Source organism: Homo sapiens, chromosome 6 (genome assembly GCF_000001405.40).
Source record: "Homo sapiens chromosome 6, GRCh38.p14 Primary Assembly".
NCBI classification, from domain to species: Eukaryota; Metazoa; Chordata; class Mammalia; order Primates; family Hominidae; genus Homo; species Homo sapiens.
Genome location: NC_000006.12, coordinates 72279089 through 72301575, shown reverse-complemented (window position 1 = coordinate 72301575; position 22487 = coordinate 72279089). Strand labels below are relative to the sequence as shown.

Here is a 22487-nt window from a genome sequence, read left to right as displayed (position 1 = left end):
TTGTTTATAGAATAATGACAAGAAAAAAAAGTGTGTACATATTCAGTACAGATGCTACCAATCATTTTCCCCCCAAACATTTTTGATCCATGGTTGGTTAAAGCCACCATTGTGGAACCCATGGATACTGTGGGCCAACTGCAATGTTTTATTTTCATGTTGATCCTTATTTTTGGAGTCATGCAAACATAGTGAGAGACTTTGATGTAGTGCATATCCAACTTCTACATCTTCACACACATATATATTATACATAAAGATTAAATTTTAAAATATTTTGACTACATAGAAATGCCCTAGTTCTGGCACACTTTCTTGGAATAAAATGACCCCTTTCAACTTGTAAGTGTAAAAATGTTCCAAGTAGTTTCCCATTTTCCCTTATAACATCCTTTTCTCTTGGATGTTAAGGATTATGCTACAGTAATATAAACAATAAAAGAACATCTATCCAGCATCTACCAATAAAATAAACATTTACCCATCATCTACCAATAAAGCATACATCTACCAGCATGAGAAACAGAAAATGCAATAAGTGAGTAACACATAAGTGAAAATACCACATTGCCTTACGGACTTTTAAAGCAAAGTACCTATGTTTAGATAAGTGAAATTTAACATTGGCATAGGTGAAAGAGGCAATTTGTATATATAATCACTTAAGTCTCACTGCAGCCAAAACCACAAGACCATCTCCTGTTTTAGCACACCTATTCCCATTGAACTATCTAAAACGAAGCTCAGGATGTCCAACTCCAGACATAATTTCTCAATGTAAAACTGCCAATTCTCAGAGTGTCACTGAAAATACTAGTCATTGGCAAGTAAGAAAGTCAGGCTCTTATAAAAGAATTTGTTATATATCTTGTCCTTTAGGGTTATACAAAGTTAAACAATTTTTAAAAGCATGTTTAGGTTTTGAGAGGGAACACTATCTCCCATAAGATGCACTTCAAATACAATTTTTACAAAAAGCAACCTGTGTAATTAAGCCTTCTTTGGGGGATAACAAAACCAATCACTGAGGAAGCCATGTTATTTATACCAAGTGATCTCTAAAATGTTTAGCCATAATTTCTCATTACTCCAATAATACTAATGGATACAGAATCTATCCTGAAAGACTTGATTGGCACAATTCTGCTAAATTTAAATTTGATTTTTGAAAGTCTTTTCCTGTGTTTTACAATATTTGGGGAACATATACAACTTTAGAGAAAATACATCAAAGAGCCTGTCCATGGTTAGACATTTGTTTTCCTCAATTAGGTCTCTCTTGCAAGTTGTGTCTTGGTTAACATGTGTTAAATCCTTTGAAGCTTTAAAAGCCTATGACACTATAAATAAACACATCTGAATCACCAAATGGGAAAACAGGGTCAAAAGCATTACTTCTGAATTTTTCTAATCAATCTGCTTAACCCTCTGGGATCCTGAAGTTTAAAGAGAAGGCTACAATGACAATATATTTATGAGATTGTGCCAAAAAAAGAGATGGATAAATTACTTTTCCTAATGGAGCTCTAAATATTTATGAGTAAATATTCATTAAGATTCATAATAAGTGTTCAGGAGAAGCAATGCCCAGGAATATTAAGAAACTTGTATTTTTGAAATCTTAACACACAATAACAGAAAATGATTCACCTGGACTAATATGCATCTACTACTACTAATAAAAATGTAAATAAAACTGAGACCTTTGCTACTTAATGACAGTTAAAAGAATGCTGATTCTGAAAAACACAAAAATTGGTTTACTTATTTTAAAAAGAGTACATAATTTGTTCTTATAGTGTTTCACAACCACAGTACGCTATTGAAATGTGCTTAATTTTTATTTATACAACTGTACAAAAAATGCTAAAATTAATGTTTTTCGCTTCTTTACTTGAATTCCACTAAAGTAAAGTTAATGCTCATAAGTTTCATGGAAAATATAGTTTGCATAACTTAGCATTCAAACTGTTCTTGCTGACATTTAAAGAAGGAAAACACAGTTAACTTACTTGAGAACTTATTAAAGAAACCTGGTACTTAAAAAAAATATAGTTGACTAGAGACAATCCTAATGATCTAGTTACAATCTCTATGATCTAGTTACAATAATTATCACATATTTTATTAGTGAAACAGAAAAGCAAAAAGCACCAAAATGCTATTTACTTTGTTCCTATAAATAATAATTTACTTACTTTAATTGCCTTTCATTCTCCATGTGTATAAATTACACACTATTATGATTAAGGAAATTCATATTTGTAGAAGAGATAATATGATGTGTTTTGTTATGATTCAAAATTGCTTCCAAGAGCCAAAAACTTAATGCACTTAAAAAATAGTATCTAAAGGCATATAAATCATAAATTTATTACGACAATAACATTTTTCTCACCTTGAAGTCATTTAATTTCTGGTTCAGTTTTGATCTTCTTATATCATTATTTCGATGCCCCCAAACTACATTCATGGGCTCTTTAAAACTGTCCAAGAAATGTAGCAGAGAGGGAAAAATTGGCTTACTTTTAGAATGAATAATTTAAAATAGGCCTATAAAGCAGTTTGTGAAGACTAAAATGATATGGTCTTTCAGCTTTCAACATAAAAGAGGGAGTTAAAATGTAAACAAAGTACTATGAACATTTATAGTCCCTTGGTTAACTTTTCAAGCCAAAGGATGTGTTATCTTTGTTAGCTTTGTTAACTTTCAAGCCAAAGGATTTGTTATCTGTATGGCAATTGGAGGAGCAGGCCAGATGTAGAAGGTTTAACTGAATGCTGCAAAATTGGGTCAATAGGGAAAGGGAGGAGAAACTAAGTGGGCTTCTCCAAAATCCCAGTGCTGAGTGGTGATTGTTACAGGAACGTGGTGTGGAGCACAGAACATGGGCTGTGGATTCAAAATCTGGTTCTGCCTCACAGCAGCTTTTTTACCTTTGGCATTCAACTTAACCTCTTTCACTCTATTTCAATAAAACAGGGGTGAAAAAAGCCTTCCTTGCAGTTGTAAATGTGTTACTATAATTACGTGGTGATGCATGCAAAGCAGTTACTCAGTAAATGCTGTCTGAATGTTGAAGAGTCTACAGAGCAAAGTGGATGAGAACAAGTTCCCTGGAGGGGGATCTGTGTCTCGTTTCCTATTCTATCATTTACAAAATGAAATACTGACTGATAAGGGGCCAAGTTTTTAACCTAACTTTTAGCTTTTCGGCGGGAAAATAAAGATACTAATAGTTAGGTCTCAAGTTGTTGTGAAAATATAATGAGATAAATATGTAACACTTTTAGTAGAGTCACTGACATATAGTAAGTGCTCAATATAGCCTATCTACCATTAGTAATGCTTTGAGTATTTTACACTTCTCTTTATGTGACTTTAAAAACATATGCTGTAAAATTAATAGACTGGTTCCCTATAGGGTAACCAACCATCCTCGTTTGCTTAGAACTGTCCCAGTTTCAGCACTGAAAGTCTTGCATCTTGGGAAAACCCTCAGTCCCTGACAAACTGGAACCACTGGTTGTCCTACAAGTTCATCTACAGTTAATAAAAAATAAACCCTAATGAACCCCTTGGCTTGTGTACTGGTCTTCATTTATCCGGGATGTACTCACAATAACCTGAATTCTCTAATAAGATAGATCCCAGCAAAGACAAACTTCAGCTCACAGAAGTAGGATTTCTATGCTGTGAACTTTTCCTTTCTTTTGGGTTACGTGAGCTTAAAATACGATTTTAATGAAATTTCTTGACCTTGCTTCTATTCTTTCAAAGTTTTGAGAGCCACGTTCAGTGGCTAAACTGTGTTATCTTAAATCCCTAAGGAGAGGCGCAGCATTCTTTTTCTGACCTATACCTTCCTGGACGCATTTTGGGATGTGCTTCTTTGGTTATTTCTAAAAATGTGGTCTATTCTGTGAGGCATTTCTACATCCTGTTTCCAAGGAACGCTTGGAGGGGTGATGACACCTCTCAGCCAGGACACACTGACTGTATAAAAACAAACTGACATGTTCTGCACAGAGGCCCTAAATGTGCATATTTCATGCAGACTTTAGGTTATACTTATGGATTTTGTTTTGTTTTATTTAGCTAGGTACAGCTTTTGCCTAGTAATATATATGGAAAGGGCTCTAAATGAAGAATTATTACATTTTTCTTTCTTTTGGATAAAGGAATTAGATCATGGCCCATTTCTAATATGAATCTAATACTTTTAGCCCACTAAAATTTATCTTGCAAATCCAACTACATTCTTCTGACCTAAGTAAAGTACATTGGTCATTCTTGTACTACTGAATCTAATGTTGTGTTTTCAATATCTGACATAAAAATGCAGCAAGATGGCTAGAAATCTATGCAAAATCTATGGCCAAAACATCTTGATCTCACTGAATTTTTTAATTTTTTAATTAATATATGTATTGCCTAATATATCAGACACTATGCCAGAATAATATATATATGTATAGTGCCTGAATATAAATATTGTTAAATACATTTTTATAAATACAGATCAAATATGTAATTGAAACTGTTCTCTTTGTAATACCGAGATACATAATGCATAACTAAATATGCTAAGGGTGAGAAATAATATATTTGGTATTTGTACTTACTAAAATAGGATACACCAACATGTAGAGGAAAAGGTCGAAAGTAAAAAGATCTGGGTTTGTAGTCTACTACTGACAAGCAGTTTGGGCAAATGTCATAATCTCTCTGAACTTGTGTCCTTATTCCTAAAATAGGAATGATGTTACTTTCAGAACTAGCTTTGAGTTAATTTGTTGTTACTATGGGCAACAAATTAATTCAATCAGTCCACTTTCAAATATTGAGAAAATGTACTTTTATTAAATTATACAGAATTATATAATTATTAAATATAATTAACCTTATCACATTAAGCTGAAAACTCATGTTCAAATAGTTAATTATCAGGCCAACAGCAACTCTGAACAGAAAATGGTGTGGGCAGCATATGACTGTAGGGGGAAGCCTGCAACCTATTTGAAATTCAAGTGCAAAGACCAAAAATGCTGAATGGTTTTCTTCTCCCATGACTCTCAGAAAGATAAAATTAATGGGTATTTTAACAGTATTGAGGCAAACAGAAGTAACATTTAGGCAGCAGCTTCTCAGATGTATGACTGCAGCCAGGGCCAGAACATTCACTAAGGTTACCACTATCTGGAAAGTAAAATCCAGAGATTTTCTACTTTTACCAGGTATTACCCTGAATAGAATTAAATCTTTTATCTATGAGAGCAGGGAAATGCAAACAAACAGAAACAAAGAAAATGTCATTTTCCTAGGAGAATTGTTTTCTAGTTGTCAGTATAGATAAATAAATTTTTAAAAAAACATTAATTTTAAATAAAATTTTTAAAAAACATTAATTTTAAAGTAATCTTCTCTTCTTTGATGTGAACATAGAATATGAAATAATTAATATCAAATACACTACAAAATCATTTGAGGAAAATAGCTACCTGTTAATTTTGCTCATTATTTCAATAAATACAGTTATATAACTCTTGTATATTATATTTTTAAAAGTAACAATATTAAATGGTTAAAAAGTTATGTTAATATTTACCTTTTGTGGAAGAGTTATATTTTTCTTGTTCTTCAATGAATTAAATGCACATAATGATGGAAACAAAAGAAAGAAATCAGCAAATTTATAGTTAGACATGGAAATGTGAATTAACACAATGGCATGAATAATTAAAATGCATAACATATAATGTGACATGATAAATTGCAATGAAAAACCATGAGTTCCCAAATATGGTACTAAAATTAATCAAAGAAAGAATGAATACAGCAATTTAAAGATTTAAAATGAAACAAAAACATTGGGAAATTAGTATGTTTGGCATTTGAAAAATATATTCTGTATTATTTTTTCTTTCCTTTTAAGAGCTGTATAAAATTTCAGTACCAATTTTATTAAAACATCTTAACTTGAATCCATTGTGATTTTTTTTGGAAAAGCATTTAAAAGCATACTTAATTTTCATAACAAAAATTTTTATCATTTCAAAAATGAAAGTTCATGTGATAAAGGCTCATATGATAAAATGAAATTTATTTTTTTATCTGATAAGCAAAAAATAAATTCCATTTTTACACTTTGTTTGCACCACGGAAACTATTCTGTAACATTTTCCACATGAAAGAAAATTCTAATTTAAGTAATCCTTTTTTCTTCTGAAATTAATTAGATTAAAATACCCCAAAGTAAAATTAGTTGTTTTGTAGAGACTATACTTCTTAGACATTTTATAAGGCTTTATATCCACCTCTTTGTTTTGTATCATTTACAGAGGACTAATGGCCTGTTTCTGTATTTCTGAAGAGGAATATCATTGGAGTTTTAGATAGGTGATATAATAATGGAAGATATAAAACATAATTAACACATCATTTACTGTTAGTTTGTGAATCATCTCTAAATCCTTCTTTAAAAGATCCAGTTGAGCACAAAAAAGTTACTGGTTGGCTTCAGAAATCCATTTTTATACAACCAATTAAGTTATCTTCAGCCTTACTCTACATAAGGGATATGCTGGGATATTGTGTTGAAATATAACCAGAAAAATTTTGTGGAAGTCTTTGCTTTCAATTATCACATACCATTAGAGTTACTTAAATTATAAGGCTACTGTTTCAAGTACTCTACCGCAAAAATCTGTATTGTGATCACCTCTTTGTTTTTCCCCTAAATCTACTTCAACATAATCTGGCTCTATGTAGCAAATAGGCTAGCATTCTCAATTTTTAAAATGAACTTTAAAACACCTTTTCAAAAATTGATTAAACATGTGTTTCCAAATGATATGTTAGCCTTTAAGAGATACTGCCTTTATGGTATAAATAGAGAGTGGTATATTTGATTTATAAGAAAAAAAATACTTCCAGTGAAACAGTCAAATTGTCCTGGCATACATTCCAAAATCAGTAATGTAGATAACTGTACCCAGAAACGGTATATTAATAAAATTATTTTATAAGTGCCTCAAGAAGGTGTATCAGTATCTAGTAATCTAAACCATTTGAAATATTTGTTCTTACCAATCAGCTGCTTATCAAATTATTTCTAAACAGAAAATCACCCTTTGTTAAACATTTTTAAAAAATGGGAAGGAAGTCAAGTGCAGTAGGGGCTTAACCAATTGTAATAGACTGTGGTCAGCATTAATCTTCATGGGAGATGGAACTAAAGTTTAACAAGTAATTTCAAAATAATAAAATGGCATAATTCTACAGCCTTAAGAACAACAATGAAATCAATCTTAAATAGAACATGCTAAATCCTATCTAACTCATAAATCAAATTAAAATTTACTTTTTTAAACATATTTTAGGACAAACAAAGCTGTCATGTGGACTGTTCATTTTGAAATAGAACCATAAAAAGATGATGGCAGACGGTATAATCATTTACCAAAAGTCCTAAAGCACATATTTATATCATAAAAAACACCAACCAGGTCTCTTTTATTTATAGAACATTTATATATATAGATATATAAAATACATGCTTGTTGTCACATTTCTTAAAAGCTGTATGTATATAACTCTAAAGATCATATATTTCAGGAAACTCAAATAACCAAAATGTTTATTAGTGTATTTGTCATATTAAATATCAAAGTAACTCCACCAATGTAGTCATTCCCTTCTTCCCACCTCAATTCAATCCTTACAAATTGATGATTTCTCTGAAAGACAACTGTGAATATGAATATCATAAACAGTAACATTTATATTAACAATAGAACATGAGCTTTTTTAAAAAACCAAAATCCAACATACAATACAACTTATTTTGTGGAAGGAATTCTTATTTCTACAGAAATAATGTAATCAGAATCTCACTATAGGAGAGTTATATGCAGTACCCTTATATGCTTTTGAACCCATAAAATGTTTTATTTGCAACTGAAGGAAATGCAAAGAATTTTAGGAGCACATGACTTTTAGAATATCAATCTTTAGCAAAATATGATCGGTAAGACCGAGTTTGTAACTAAACACCCACATTTGTAGTTCTTTCAGTTGTGCAACAGGAGCTCATGAATAGATAATTTAAATAAACACCAACTTTTGCTTTAAAAAATAAATTTTAAAACAATTTCATCTGGGTTATTGCCAGATTAATTATGAATAATTTTAAAATGTTCCCAGAGAGGAGAGGAAAAATGTTAAACATGTCAATGAATAATTCCAATGAATTAACTGCGATTTTAAAAAAGAAAGTCAGAGTTTCACAATGCATCATATTTTCATGATTCACTAAATGAATACCATTTTAGCAACCCTGAAAACTAAAGCATGGAGTATCAATAGAATGTATTTTAAAAAATATAAACTCAGAGTTTATCACACCAGTGTTACTCTATTAATAAGTTGATACCTTTAAAAATCTACACTAAGTTTTCCATAATCAAGTATTCTGCATGGCAATCTATGCCACATCAGTCTTTGAAACAATGCATTTACCTTCTGAGATCTTTGACATATCTGTGATACATTCAGTAAATCACTTGAATTAAGTGAGAAAAACATGTACCCCCGTACCCTCAATATAAAATGAAATGCAAGTTTTCCATCAGCAACAATAACACTGCTGAAAAAAATATTCAAAGTGTTAACCTTTCAGTTGTTTCATAGGGATAAAGGTTTTTAATAAATATCTTAAAAGTAATTCTACTACATTTATATTACAATCCCAAAGTAGAAATTATTTTAGTAAATTGCTTACCAAATTCCTGATTAAAAACATGTGATAAAAAATAATGATAACAAGTCATGTCATCTACTAAGATATGTGATAGCACTTTGGGTCACATGAAGAATACTATTTTAACGTAGTGTCTAAATCATCTAGCTCAGGTAGTTTAGAAAATTTAGTTTCTACTAAAATCAGACCGTATACATTCTCTCTCTCTTTCTCTTTCTTTGTTGCTCAGAAAATGAAATAATATATGCATAAAATAAGGAAATCTTTAAGCAATATGAACTGCTGAAGACACTAAAACATGTGTTCTGTCATTTTTTTCATCATCAAACTTAAAATATAGGCTACTGCTAATCAAGTTAAATTAAAAAATTTGTAAAGGATTCAGTATGATTAAGTGTTTAATTTTTAAAAAATCTTTTAAAAGATAAAATATTCTTTTAACACATAAAATGCCATATTGCAATGAGATTTTTAAATTTTATTTTTTTCCTTTGTCACTTTGGAATAAGATGTTTCTAGCCCTAAATCCCTTCTGTTAAATGACCATCTAAAATTCAATCATCCAGCAAAACTCACTCAGCAAAAACTGAGTGCATGCCATGAACCACTGTCACTAGGTGTTGGGGATAAAACTGTAAGAAAATCAAATTTTTAGGATGCAGCAAACTACATATAATCAAAATACTATTCATTTAATAAAAGGGGTATAAATAGAGGAGGTTCTCAAATCCAAGATTTTTGGACAATGATCTCTCTTTATCGGATACCTTGTTCTATACTGCCGCTTCTCACTGGCACTTGTGGGAGCTGTCTTCCCCTGCGACTGCTGAACGATGTGTCTGCTGGAGGAGATTGTGTTGGACTTCTCTGTCGGTGCATTCTGCAGGCAAAAAGCAAAGCGGGCATGAAACAATGAAATTCCAATGTGGTCTGACAAAAATCTTTCCTCCTTTCTGTTACGATTAAAATAGACATAAACCCCCTCACTGGGCCAATGGGAGCAGAATCAAACACTTTTTATGATATGTGTAAATGGAATATTACAAAAAGGGGTTAAATGAGATAGGGCAATGTGCACCACACACAGTTCTACATAATGAATTCTTAAACTGAGCAGAATCCAATTCACTTCTTTTCATTAACTTTCTATTAAGTTGTTCTACCTGGGCAAGTTATTCAGTTTTGGCAGTACTGAACCAAATACATCTAATTACAGCCTCTGGATCTTAACAATATGGATAAATGAGGCAAGAAAGGCTGTTGCCTAAACTGCTACTCTTAAATTGATATTGACTATAGAATTATTTATAACTGATAAGAATTCTAGCTGCAGACTTTTATAAATTACCACTCACTTGTACTTTATTTCTAAATAGGAACAAATTTGAAAGATATTTAAAATAATCCTGGACATATGTTATGAAATACACTGGTGCTAGCATTAAAATTACAAATAAAAGTTTGAGAAGTGTGCCGATATATTACTACTGCCCAGGATTAAGCGGACTTCCATCTGTTGGCATTTAAACACTTTTCAAACTGAAGAACTTTAAAACACTCTTAACACTTTACTGAACACATATAAAAGATTTTTAAAATTTCCTCTTATGCTTTTTAAAGTAAGCACACATTTAACTCCAGGTAATTTATCATAAAAATTTCACATAATTAAAAAAATTATATATGAATATGCCACAAACAGATGAAAGGACATAACACAGCCAAATTTAATTTTCAATGAGAGCTAATTGGCAGAAACTATAGTATACCACCAGCACAGTGAAGATAGATGCAAGTAATAGAGGATGTGAGAGAGATTTAAGTGTCACAAAGAAAGGATTAAAAGTTATGGTGTCAAAATGAGTGAAAGCTTCAAGTGCTCAGGAAGGTACAACACCACACCAACACCCGGAGGCAGGACATGAATGCTGAGGGGGACACTGAATAGCGACCTTGTCAGAAGCGGAGAAGGTGGCGCCGACCCTCCAGGGACAAGGTGGTGCATAGAACACAGTGTTCTGATACTAGAGTGCTCACTCGACCTTGAGCGAGCAGGATGTTTTCCCCTAATGACTGGCTGATCAGTTGCTCTTGGGGCTGCGTGTCCCCTTCTAGAAAGACATGTTGGGAGAACCCTAAAACATTAGGGCCAAAAAAGATCTTCAGTCAGCAGGTTCACATTAACTTTGATACCAACACATTTGTCCAAGGAAAACCTGGTTACTCGTACATGACAGTAATTTCAAAGAAGAGAACCCATCACGCAATTATTGAAATGGAATTCAAATCAAACTGACAAGTTATTATTGCAAATGTGAACGCCATGTGGTTTTTAAAGACTAATTGGTGTTGCTCTAATGTAATAAACCTCTTGTATGTTCCACCAACAGCAGAGACTCCTGTCTGTTTGTTTTGTTTTGTTTTGTTTTGTTTTATAGAGCTGTATCTCAAGTGCTTACAACACAGCTGCACAGATAGCAAGAGCTCAATAAAGGTATGTTGCTTGAATGAGTGACTGTAATTAGGATGATGAATACAGGAAAGCTTCAAGTGCTTGCCTTCAAGAAGAAATACTGTAGGCCTCTATATTTTTACAATGTTCATAATTTTACTCTGTAATAAGCAAGACTATGCCAAAAACAACGAAAGAAGCCTGCCTTTTGAGGTTAATCTAAGTAGACAAAAATTAAAACAATATAAGGTGGAGAATGCTCCATTAATTATACATCTGATTAAATATAAATGGCTGAAATATGGATAAAAACATGTTCTCTCAGATATAACAATACCTGAAAATGTATGTGTCCATATTTTGACAACTATATTACTATGGCGTTTAAAATTATTATAAAGCCAATTAATGAATTAAAAATAAACAACTGATGTTTATATAGATGTACTTATTTTTTTAATGCATGCTTTTGCCTTTTTCATTGATTTTGGTATTTATTTTAAATAAAATGCATGATTAAAACACCTAGCAGGTATTATTTTGACAGAAAGAATAAAATGATACCTCATCCCTTTTTAAAGCAATACTGTAAAATTCACTTAGTGACTAAAAATGTGTGAGAATAAAGAATACATATTTATCACCAAAAGCACATAAAGGAGTGTCATTCAACTTCTATTCAGATTGGCAATTTTTCTTTTAAGTAAAATGATTTTTATAGCTATAATGATTTTGATTCTGAGTATCTTATTCATTCAAGAACAACAAAACAGGAAAATGTCAGGTTGAAGATAACAAAAAGATGTTCAGCTTAGGTCTTTAATAAAGGCGTATTTTACTTTCTTGAGCTATAAATTAATGCTTTATCACGTCATAATTCAAACGCTGAAACCTGGGCTGTTACCTCAATTTCCAAATTAAAATAAAAAGTAACTCATAGGGTTCTATATATTAAAACTGTTTATTCCAAATTGGCTTTTCACATTAACTCAACTACATAGAATGAATTTCTATGGGATAGAGTAAATGATCAAGTCCTTTCCAGTGATGAGAGTTTTATCTATTACTCTTTAAAAGTCATTATCATGACAATAAACTTCAATCTTTGTTCAAGATACTCTTTCTAAACGTGGCTCGCAAATGGAATTATACAGTTTTCACCTTAGTACTGAGAAATTTCACGGATATTACAATTTCACTTAAATCTTGCTCCATTCCTTAAAGCAATTCACAAGCACTAAAAGAAAAACTCAAATGTGACTTGAAATGTAAAAAATTTCGGTGAACTTTCTGTGGCATCAAACTAAATGGCAAAAGTATAAAAAGCAATTTCAGGAGCAAATAAATGGCTTCCTGGGTGAATATTCACAGCTCAACCACATATAGTGTTCCATCTCCTGAGCCACAAGGCTTGCAGTGTCTGAAAATAGCCTGTAATGTTTGAGGTTAATCGTTTAGCACAATATATGTTTTTTTTCTTTGACATGAAAAGTCCCTCAATAATAAAAGAGTTCCTGCCCCCAGCCACTCTGTAACAAGCATGAGATCACAGACCAAAGGAGAAGCGTAGAAAGCCACTTTGCCAGAGGAAGAAAGGAATGTGGTAGCAATGCTGAATTATGAAGGGGAAGCTGGGTAGAGGAAAAATGCAGAGCTTAGAGAGAGAAGAGCAAGGTTTTGCAGAGGAGAGATGATAGAACCAAGTATAGTTTGTTTTTAGGCAAGAGGAAAGGACAATTAATCAAGAAATTCTGAGGTACAGAGTGTAAAGTTGAAAGAATCCAGGCTGTTGTGCCCTGATCTTTTCAATGAAATGGGATGTGCTAAGAATGTAAGGATGTAAGAAGAATGATAGAGATTTAGAACAACCTGTTAGAGAATGAAACAGGGAGTGTAGGATGGATAAATAACATAACAGTAACAGCTATTCCTTACTGAGCATCAATATAGGGTCATCTATTCATGCCAAGAACTGAAAGTGTTTGTGCGCATATGCAGGCATGCATGTATTCATGCATATATGTATCTATAGGTTTATACATACAAGTATATACATATGTACCTTTTTGTATTCTCACACACTAAGAAGCGTTATTACTACTATTTTATTTAATTTTATTTATTTTATTTTATTTTATTATGACTGAGGGTCATAGAGTGACCTGGAGAAAGATAAACAGCTAAAATGTGGTAGAGGCAGGATCCACACAGGTCTGTCCAGCTCCAATGCTTGCTCTCTTTTCTGTCTAGTGAGATAGGATTGTTTGTGTATCATGAGAAAAAAGTGGTAATTTCACATCTCAGGATGTACCATGAATCTTTTAACACAAACCATATGTCCAAGTATCAAATTATTTGGCAGGACTTAACAGAACTGTGTTTGAGAGTTTGTGGAATCAAAATATATGGACAATGGTATTTAACAAATACCTACTCTATTATGTATATTTACAGCTCCTCATTTTTAAAAAATGAGGTTTGCGGCCGCGCGTGGTGGCTCATGCCACTATGGGAGGCTGAGGCGGGTGGATCATAAGGTCAGGAGTTCAAGAGCAGCCTGACCAACATGGTGAAACCCCGTCTCTACTAAAAATACAAAAATTAGCCGGGCGTATAGCACGCACCTGTAATCCAGCTACTCAGGAGGCTGAGGCAGGAGAATCACTTGAACCCAGGAGGCAGAGGCTGCAGTGAGCCAACATCGTGTGACCACACTCCAGCCTGGGTGACAGAGCAAGACTCCATCTCCAAAAAAAAAAAAAAAAGTTTGCAGAGCAAAAGTTTAATTCAAACTTATGTATGCCTGACCCTAAGTTTACCATCTTCAAGTATGTATCTAAACATTTACCACTAAGTTCAATCCATGCCTACTCTCCTTCATCTAAGACTAGAGTTTTGATTTACACTTAAGTAAAACATACTTCTCAATAAAAATTTGCGTCTTTAGTCAGACATTTTTGTTGCTGCAAATGGACTTGCAGTAAATTGCTTCTACCAAAGCCTAAAAACAATGTAGTTCTGTTGTTTTTGTTTTTAAACAACTTGTTAAAGAATGGACATGTATGTGGTATTTAAGGTCAAATTTTCAAAGTGGTTCCTACTGTGCTGGTCCGTTACAGGCCTGCACAGGCTCTTTTGCAATAACACACCATAAAATGCATATGTAAGCAATTCTAAATAGTAGTCCAAATAAAGAAATAAAGCATCCCCAAGTTAGAATGTAGAGTGTAGTTTCTACAGGAAGAAAAGTCACTAGAATGGAATGCAGAAATGATGGGCAGCAGTTCTCAAGGGTGAATTCACATGAAGATGAAAAGCTAGACTTTTATCTTATCAAGAAGCTTCCAAAGAAAATATGATACATTTCTTTAAGTGGCTTGACACAAAAAATATAAATCAGTTCTACTTGTCTCCTAATGACAACTGGTCATCATCTCTTTCAAAATATATTCTTAAAAGGCTATCTGTCATGAGGTTACATTTGTTGAGGGCAATAAAAGGCCTTTAAAATTATGATCATTAAACAGCAAATTTCGCCAGAAACCAGTGCAAAACTGTGTAGTATGACTCCTTTTGGGAAGTTATCAACTCTCAAAGGCCAGGAGTCAGTGTCCAAAGCATTTATACTGTGTCTTCGGTTCACGTGTAGCTAGATGTAAATTCAAGGTATCTTCTTAACAGCTCTTATTCAGAGCTAACATAAATTAGAAAACCCAGGCCAGTTCTTCTTTTGTAACCTGCTATTCAACAATTCACAAAGAAACTAGGCATGTAGTTTACACTCTAATAAAAATCAATGAAAAGCTTTAATTATAATCAAACACATCTAAAAGGTTACAGCTTTCTACTTTAAACTATAAGCAAAGGAAAGGCAAGAGTACTATGAATATGATTCATAAGTGTCATATATTTGAAAATGAAAGTCAATCAAATCCTTGCTATTCTGATTGGAGGATTTGTGTTTATCCACAGATTACATTTCAGAGTTGCAAAGGCAGATGCCTCAATATCATTAATCTGGAGTTAAGCACCTCCAGCTGACACTGGCATCATCTATCATTTTCTAAAATAGTATCTTATTGCCAAAAAAACTTGTTCACTGATGTATCCTTAATATATAACTACACACAGTAGTCACTCAACTAGCAATTTTTTTTTTTTTTTGAGATGGAGTTTTGCTCTTCTTGCCCAGGCTGGAGTGCAATGGCGCAATCTCGGCTCACCGCAACCTCCACCTCCTAGGTTCAAGCAATTCTCCTGCCTCAGCCTCCCGAGTAGCTGGGATTACAGGCATGTGCCACCAGGCCCAGCTACTTTTGTATTTTTAGTAGAGATGGGGTTTCTCCATGTTGGTCAGGTTAGTCTCAAACTCCCGACCTCAGATGATCTGCCCGCCTTGGCCTCCCAAAGTGCTGGTATTACAGGTGTGAGCCACCATGACCAGACTCAACTAGTATTTTTAAAAAATGAATGAAAGAATACTGAATAGAATTAAAAGAATACAACTTCAAGGAAAAGGTTTAATCATGTCAAAATAATTGAAATTGTGTAGAGGGGGCTGAAAATGATGGTTGAAGATTGAAAATTTATCTAAGAAATTATAGTTATTTACAATGATGGTAAAGAAACTGCAGTTAACTGAGCTGGGATTAAAGAATGTGAAAATACAAACATTGTTTCATCAAAGGCTATCTATCTATCGATTGATCAATTTCCTTCCTCAAAGTCCAACTCTTTGTACTACTCAACACTTTTCATGAGTCCCCTGTATCCTTATTCCATTGTGAATCAAGTTCCCTAAATAGTCAATTTCTCCATGGACCACTGTCCAGAAATAAATTTCATCTCCCTTTTACATACCACATCCCTTGATATGTCTCACACCTACTCATTTTTCAGATCTCAACTCAGTGTTAACATCCTCTGGAAAGCTTTTCTTTTTTGCTACTTGCTATTTTATTACTTGAACTTAGCACATAGTTGGTATATATCTGTTAACTGAATGAATCACTGAATTGTACAAATTCTATCTCTACTAGGCCTATTGAGATAGCCTGGCTGATGCCTTGCATCTACCCCTAGATCCTTTGATCTACCTTCCAAAAATCAGTCAAAGTGATCTATAATTTTGGAACTCAAAACTGATCCTCTGCCTCCCATGTTTAAAGCACATCTGTGGCTCACAGATCAATAAAGAAGTTGAAATTCTTTAGCATGGTATTAACATGGCATAGTGATGTCATTCATTTAACCTCTCAGAATTTCTCCAATTTTATTTTCAGGCCTCTTTTCTATCCACTGAATCCTGTTCTCCATCCCAAAACTGGTACCATTTCCCCAAACTCAAGATAGTATTTCCAATCTCAGTGTTTTCTCACGTTGTCCCCTCTCAGAATACTCCACTCTTCACACATACTTTTATGTATCTGGATTTAGCTCAAGGGACATCTGTTTATGAAGCATTTCCTAATTTCATCCTTACTGCACAACTTTTCTTGTGTTCATACTGTACCTGTGCATGCCTCTATAATGAAAGCTATGATACTTGAATATACTCATTCATTTACATCTGTGTCCCTTTACATGCTCTCAGTCATTGTTGGATAAATGAATGGGTGAATGAATATATGTTAGTTGCAATTCTTAGGTCTTTTAACACTATGTTAAAAAAAAAAGTGTCAATATGTTGTACCTAAAAATACTTAAAACCTTTGTGGAATTGGACAAATTGCAAACAAAAGGTTAGTAATCCCTTATAATTTTACATTAACTCAATGTATATCCTTGGTTATAATATACCAGTAGAATATTAGAATATATATTTGTAGAAAAGTGATTTTTTTAAAAGATGGCATTATTTAGATAAATAAGACAGTCAATAATTTGCATATTCCAGGCACTACATTCATTGGTAACATTTAAAAGATATCAGAAACAAAATATTAATGTCCTAATATGTATATAGGAATGAGTATGGATTTAATCCTTATTAGTAATCAGAATGATCACTAAGAGAAATACATAATTATTTTTTAAACCCTAAGATTTAAGAACCGCCTTGAAATTATCCTTCTCTTACTTCTTCAATGAGATCATTTCCATTTAGGGGTAGGTTTAGTTACATGAATGCCTTTAAACATCACAATTTGTGTTTAAGAACTGATCATGTAAAATGAGAGTGACAGCACCCCTAAATATATTCCTAAAATGGAAGATGTCAGCACACCACAACACCAAGCCTACCTTTCTGCATCAGAGGCAGTGCCTTTCCTAGTCTGTTTTTGGATGCTAGATCTTTCAGACTTTCTGGAGTGCCTGTGGAATGAAATGTTAAACACAAAATATATGATGAATAAAGCTACATTAACATCATACAATGATAAACACAATAGACATGAAAAATGGCAACTATATTACCTAAATGATTTTGTCAGTCAGTACTTTTCAAAACTAAATAAACAAATAAATGAATGAATGAATGAATAAAATGAAAACCAGAATTGGTGCCAAGTGGAAGACACAAGTTGCCCAATAGAAGACACGAGAAGCTGACATTTCATTAGTCTAGACAAGTACGTCTACAACAATGATCTAATATGAACCCCTACTGAGCAACTCGGCCTCTGCTGATGAGCAAACAAATGCAATGGTGAAGTGTAATAATGATAAATGTGATGATGGTAATAGTTTAGGTGCTGAAAGGCTTCAAAGGGGTGAAATGCCCCCTACTTTTACAAGTTGAAACTTGGTGCTACAAAGATTTTTTTTGATTTGTCCCCCACAAATTGTGAAGAAAAGAGAAGAAAAATGCTACAGTTAAAGATGTTTTATATAAATGAAAGTATTTATATAAAGTATTAAAATCATTTTAAAATTTTTCATAAAGATGCTTTTATAAATTACATAGCATTTTTAAAAGCACACAGCATTTTAATCACATTACAAATCATATTCCCCAGTTTATTCTACTTTTTAAAAGTACATATGTGCACTGAACACTTGAAATGCATTTTTCCCACAGAAATAATTTTTCTATAAAAAGTTTGCTTCCCCACAGCAGCTTACATATGTCTAATTAGCCTAAAATGTCTTCAGTACCATATATTTGAAATAAGTAATGTAAAATATTGTGGTCAAGAAGCTCACACTTATTACAAAAAAAAAGAGAGAAACCCTAGGAATGTGTATTTAATATTAATTATCTACAAATTAAGCTTATTTTTCTTTACTGATATCCCTTTCTCCCAACAATGTTGAGAAAAATATCTGTCTTTACTTATTAATGTGTGACATCCTAATTAAGTATCTAGTATATACCAAGTTCTGCTAGGCACTAGGAACACATATCAAGGTACAAGCCTTCACAGGCTGTTACAGAGTTCTGGGACTGCTCATCTCTCCCAATCTCTTCCGCTTTCGCCAGAAATTGTGTTCACACTCTCTTGCCCCTTCAATTCAGGGTTTCAGCTGTGTGTTTTCAGACTCATGTTAATCTGACATACCACTTTTAAGATAAAAAAGGAAGAAATAGAGGAGTGAGACATCATATTCCCTTACCAGTTGGAAAAGAGCGTACTCAATATATTGAGGGATAACTATGTCAGGCACTGAGGGGGATATGAACTTACTTAAACTCCATGAAAATCCTTTAAGAATGTGTCATTTCCATTTTATAGGTGAAGAAACAGGCTCAGGGAAAGGCTACTCAGTTAGAAAGTGGCAAAGCTAGGATTAAAATCTAAGTTTATCTGGCTCCTAAGCTGTTTCTGTTCTATACTATACAGCAAAGAGAGTGGAAGAGAGAGATTCTGGCACATGCCTTATGTGTGTATCTGTTCTGGAAGGAAGAAATGAAACCATGAAATCAGGTGCTGGGATATCACTAACAGATGACTCTCTCTCTCTGACATTAAGGTTCTTATTTACTTTATTGCTTCTGTGGTCAGGAGAGGGGATCATGGGTGGTAGGGGGGCAGAGATTCCATGATTGATTTCATGGCTGAAATCAATGAGACATGGTTGTTGGGAATGGAATCTTGTTCCTGAAGCACAGGGAAGAAGGCATAAGCATAGTGGGAAGATGAGAAGTAAGGGGAGAAGAAAGGATTAGTAATTAGATCTGCAGGCTCAGGAGGTATTGGAGCTCAAAATAAAAATAGTTATGGGAAATTTATGCTTGGTCCCCACAGTGCTCAAGGCAACTGACTGGAAGATCAAATGCTCCTTTTCTCATCTTCAGCACAAGTAGAGCAGATGAGAGTGGAGAGATTCAGGAAGACCCACAAAACTTACTGTCATTAAAATTTCCACTCATTCATTCATTCATCCAACAAACACTTGTGCATGTATATATACTAGGCACTGTTCTAGGTGGTTGGAATATGTCTGTGGAAAAAAAAACACAATTCTCTCTACCTTCAAGAAATGTACACTTTGTTGATACAAGACAAAAAATAAACAACAAAAAGTAGCTCAAACAAGTACATTATGTAGTATGGGAAAAGGTGATACATGTCAACAACAAAAGTAAACCAGGGTAAGAAGGTGGGAGTTTAGGGGCAGGAGCATATTGCAATTTTAAGTAGGGTGGTTGGAAAGGACTTATTGAAATGGTGACATTTTAGCAAAGATGTAAAGTGAAGGAGATAGCCATGTATATTGTTAGAGAAAAAGTATCTCAGGAAAAGGGAAGAAATAATAGGAAATAATAAGAAGGCAGGGGTCAAGAGAGATGATTCAGATGAAAAATTTTGCAGGAGAAGGCAGAGAAATTGTGTAGAATCTGGTGGACCCTTGAATAAAACTTCTGCACAATCAAAGGGCTATTGGCATCTTTTTGAAATAGCCTGCTTTTCTTCTGATCCCTGGCAACTTCTATTAATTTCTAGACCCAAGTGATATTTCATTTCCTCTGTGAAACTTTCAAACTCTTCCTCCTCTTTTCATCTCCTAAAATGTAATGGATTCATATATTAGATTATCACAGTAATCAATGATTGTTGTAACAGTGATTATGATATTAATAATATATAACATTTACTGAGAGCTTTCTCTGTGATAGCATGTTCACTTTATCTGCATTATCTCATATAATCTTCTTTCCAATCCAGAGGTAGGTACTACTCTTTTATCCTTTTTAAGAATAAGAAAATTGAGAGTTAGAGAACACTTTGTTCTCGCTTACATGGTCATTCAACATCTAGCCAGGAGGTGAACTGAGAGTCCATAATCTGAACAACAGTAATCATGTTGTATCTCTGGCATAAATGGCTAAAATAATGAACTGGGTGTAATCTCAGCTCTGTTCTGGCTAGCCAGGCGATTTTGGTGAAATTACTTAATGTCTCTGTGCTTCAGTTTTCTTTTACCTAAAAAGTGGCAATAATACCACTACCACTGCACACACACACAGGTTTTGCTAATTTTAAATATTTCAGTAGTACTCAGTATTGTAGTATTTGTAGTATTACACAGAACTAGAATTGACTATGTTTTTTGCATTACTTGGAATTAGCAAGTGGTGCTATGAAAATATTGCTTTAAATATTTGTTTCTTGAAGGCAAAGGGTTTTCTTACTCATCTATAAAAATATAAAACTTAGAGCCAGTGCTCTATAACTGGATAACAAATATTCATGCAAAGGCTCATAATCTAACCTTTTAATTTTTGTTTTCATTTTTAACCCTCTTATTGAGGATGCCCCTTTTTTCTCTTCAAATAGCAATGAAATTTACCTCCATTAAAGATTCTTCTAAAGATAACTACAAAGGATATGTCTTTATAATTCTTCTAACCCCTTAAAAGAATACGTAAATTAAGTTAAAATGATATGCACTTAATTGCAATAATTTTCTGTAAAGGAGCAGAGAATAAAATAGAAAATTCTAATGTTATTTTCTATTTTGAATCCAAATTATAGCCAAAATATTGTATATTTTAACACAGCCATGTCTTAGAATAAATTGGATTGAGATATATAAAATAGGAAAGGTTAGAACAATCCACCTATATTCATGTACCATACTACTGAAACTATTAATTGTGTAATCACAAAATAGATCATACTAAAATGAATTACTTTCTACCTTATACCACTTTAAGTTCCCTGTGGTCAGGAATTGTGTCTGTTTGGATTATCAGTGTAATATCAACACCTAGCATATGGTAGTTGCTCAATAATTATTTGTTGAATGGATAGTTTAAAAGGTAATATTTTGAGTATTATCATTAAATTTGAAAGCCCAAAAATTACAATAAAAAAGAACTAACTAGGGCTATAAAATCTAGTTTGCCTCAAATGAAATAAATTTAAAAATAAAACTGCATAATTTTCTGGCCTTCAGCAAAATATAAAATACTTAAATACAACATGACCTTTGGTTTACTGAATAATACATAATGAACTGTCAGTCATTATCCAGGGCCTAATGGATGTTTTAACATGATGCAACAAGGCAGTATAGACTCAATTTTAGAGTCTATAGGACATTAAAATTCAGCTATCCCATGTATAACCAGTTAAGTTTAGAGATGAGGAAACTTAGTCCACAAAAGTTTAAGTGTCTCATCCAAGCTATGATAGACCTTAATAAGTTGATGAGGATAACACCATCACACCCCTATGTGCTTAAGTTCTCTGCTGACTCTGCCACATGTTCATTTTGAATGATTAGATGTTTATTTGAGAGATCCCTGGGCACGAGTGAACAAGACAACACTGTTTCAGTGTTTTCATTATGTCTTATTTTTAGTTTAAACATGCTTTTTTGTTCTGGCATAAATTTTTTATCTTTACAATATTATTCATAAAGAATATTTACTTGGTTTTAAACATGCAAGAATCAGAAATCTTGAGTTTTTCTCCCTTTATTCACAACTTAATAGTTGTGTGATTTTTGGCCTTATGCTTTCTAGTTCACAATGTACTAAAGAAATTCTTTTAAAGCTATAAAAGTACATTCAACTGTAAGGTATAAAAGCAATTATTTTATTATTAAATCAAAGCTAGAGTAAAAATCAGAAAATGGGATGTTTCTACTTAAACCCCAATTCTTTTGAAGTTCCATTTTCTGTGATTATTTCCTTTCTATTAATTTAGTGTGAAGATTTATAAAATGAACTGATGAAAAACAGAGGTAATTGTTAAAATCTATGTGTTTTCTTTTCCTTTTCAATAACTAATTTCAGTTAGGGTAACTCTCTAAAGACGTTGGTAAATAAAGCTTTTCTGAAGGCATTAAAATTTTATTAAAGGATAAAATACTAAAATTTT

The 22487-nt window shown here is 33.0% G+C and overlaps 1 protein-coding gene across 89 annotated transcripts in view; it reads right to left on the bottom strand.

Annotated features, from left to right (window-relative positions):
- Positions 1 to 22487, bottom strand: part of RIMS1 (regulating synaptic membrane exocytosis 1) — a 516596-nt gene that overhangs the window by 101570 nt on the left and 392539 nt on the right. For 28 of the 89 annotated variants that reach the window (NM_001350459.2, NM_001350424.2, NM_001350437.2 and 25 more), the window contains one exon: positions 9530 to 9642. In NM_001350459.2, the coding sequence (NP_001337388.1) occupies positions 9530 to 9642 (113 nt within the window). Of the gene's footprint in view, positions 1 to 4626; positions 4750 to 5609; positions 5640 to 9529; positions 9643 to 10714; positions 10898 to 17457; positions 17530 to 22487 lie in introns of all 89 variants that reach the window. The other 61 variants (XM_017010522.3, XM_011535604.4, XM_047418426.1 and 58 more) reach the window with 8 other exon arrangements.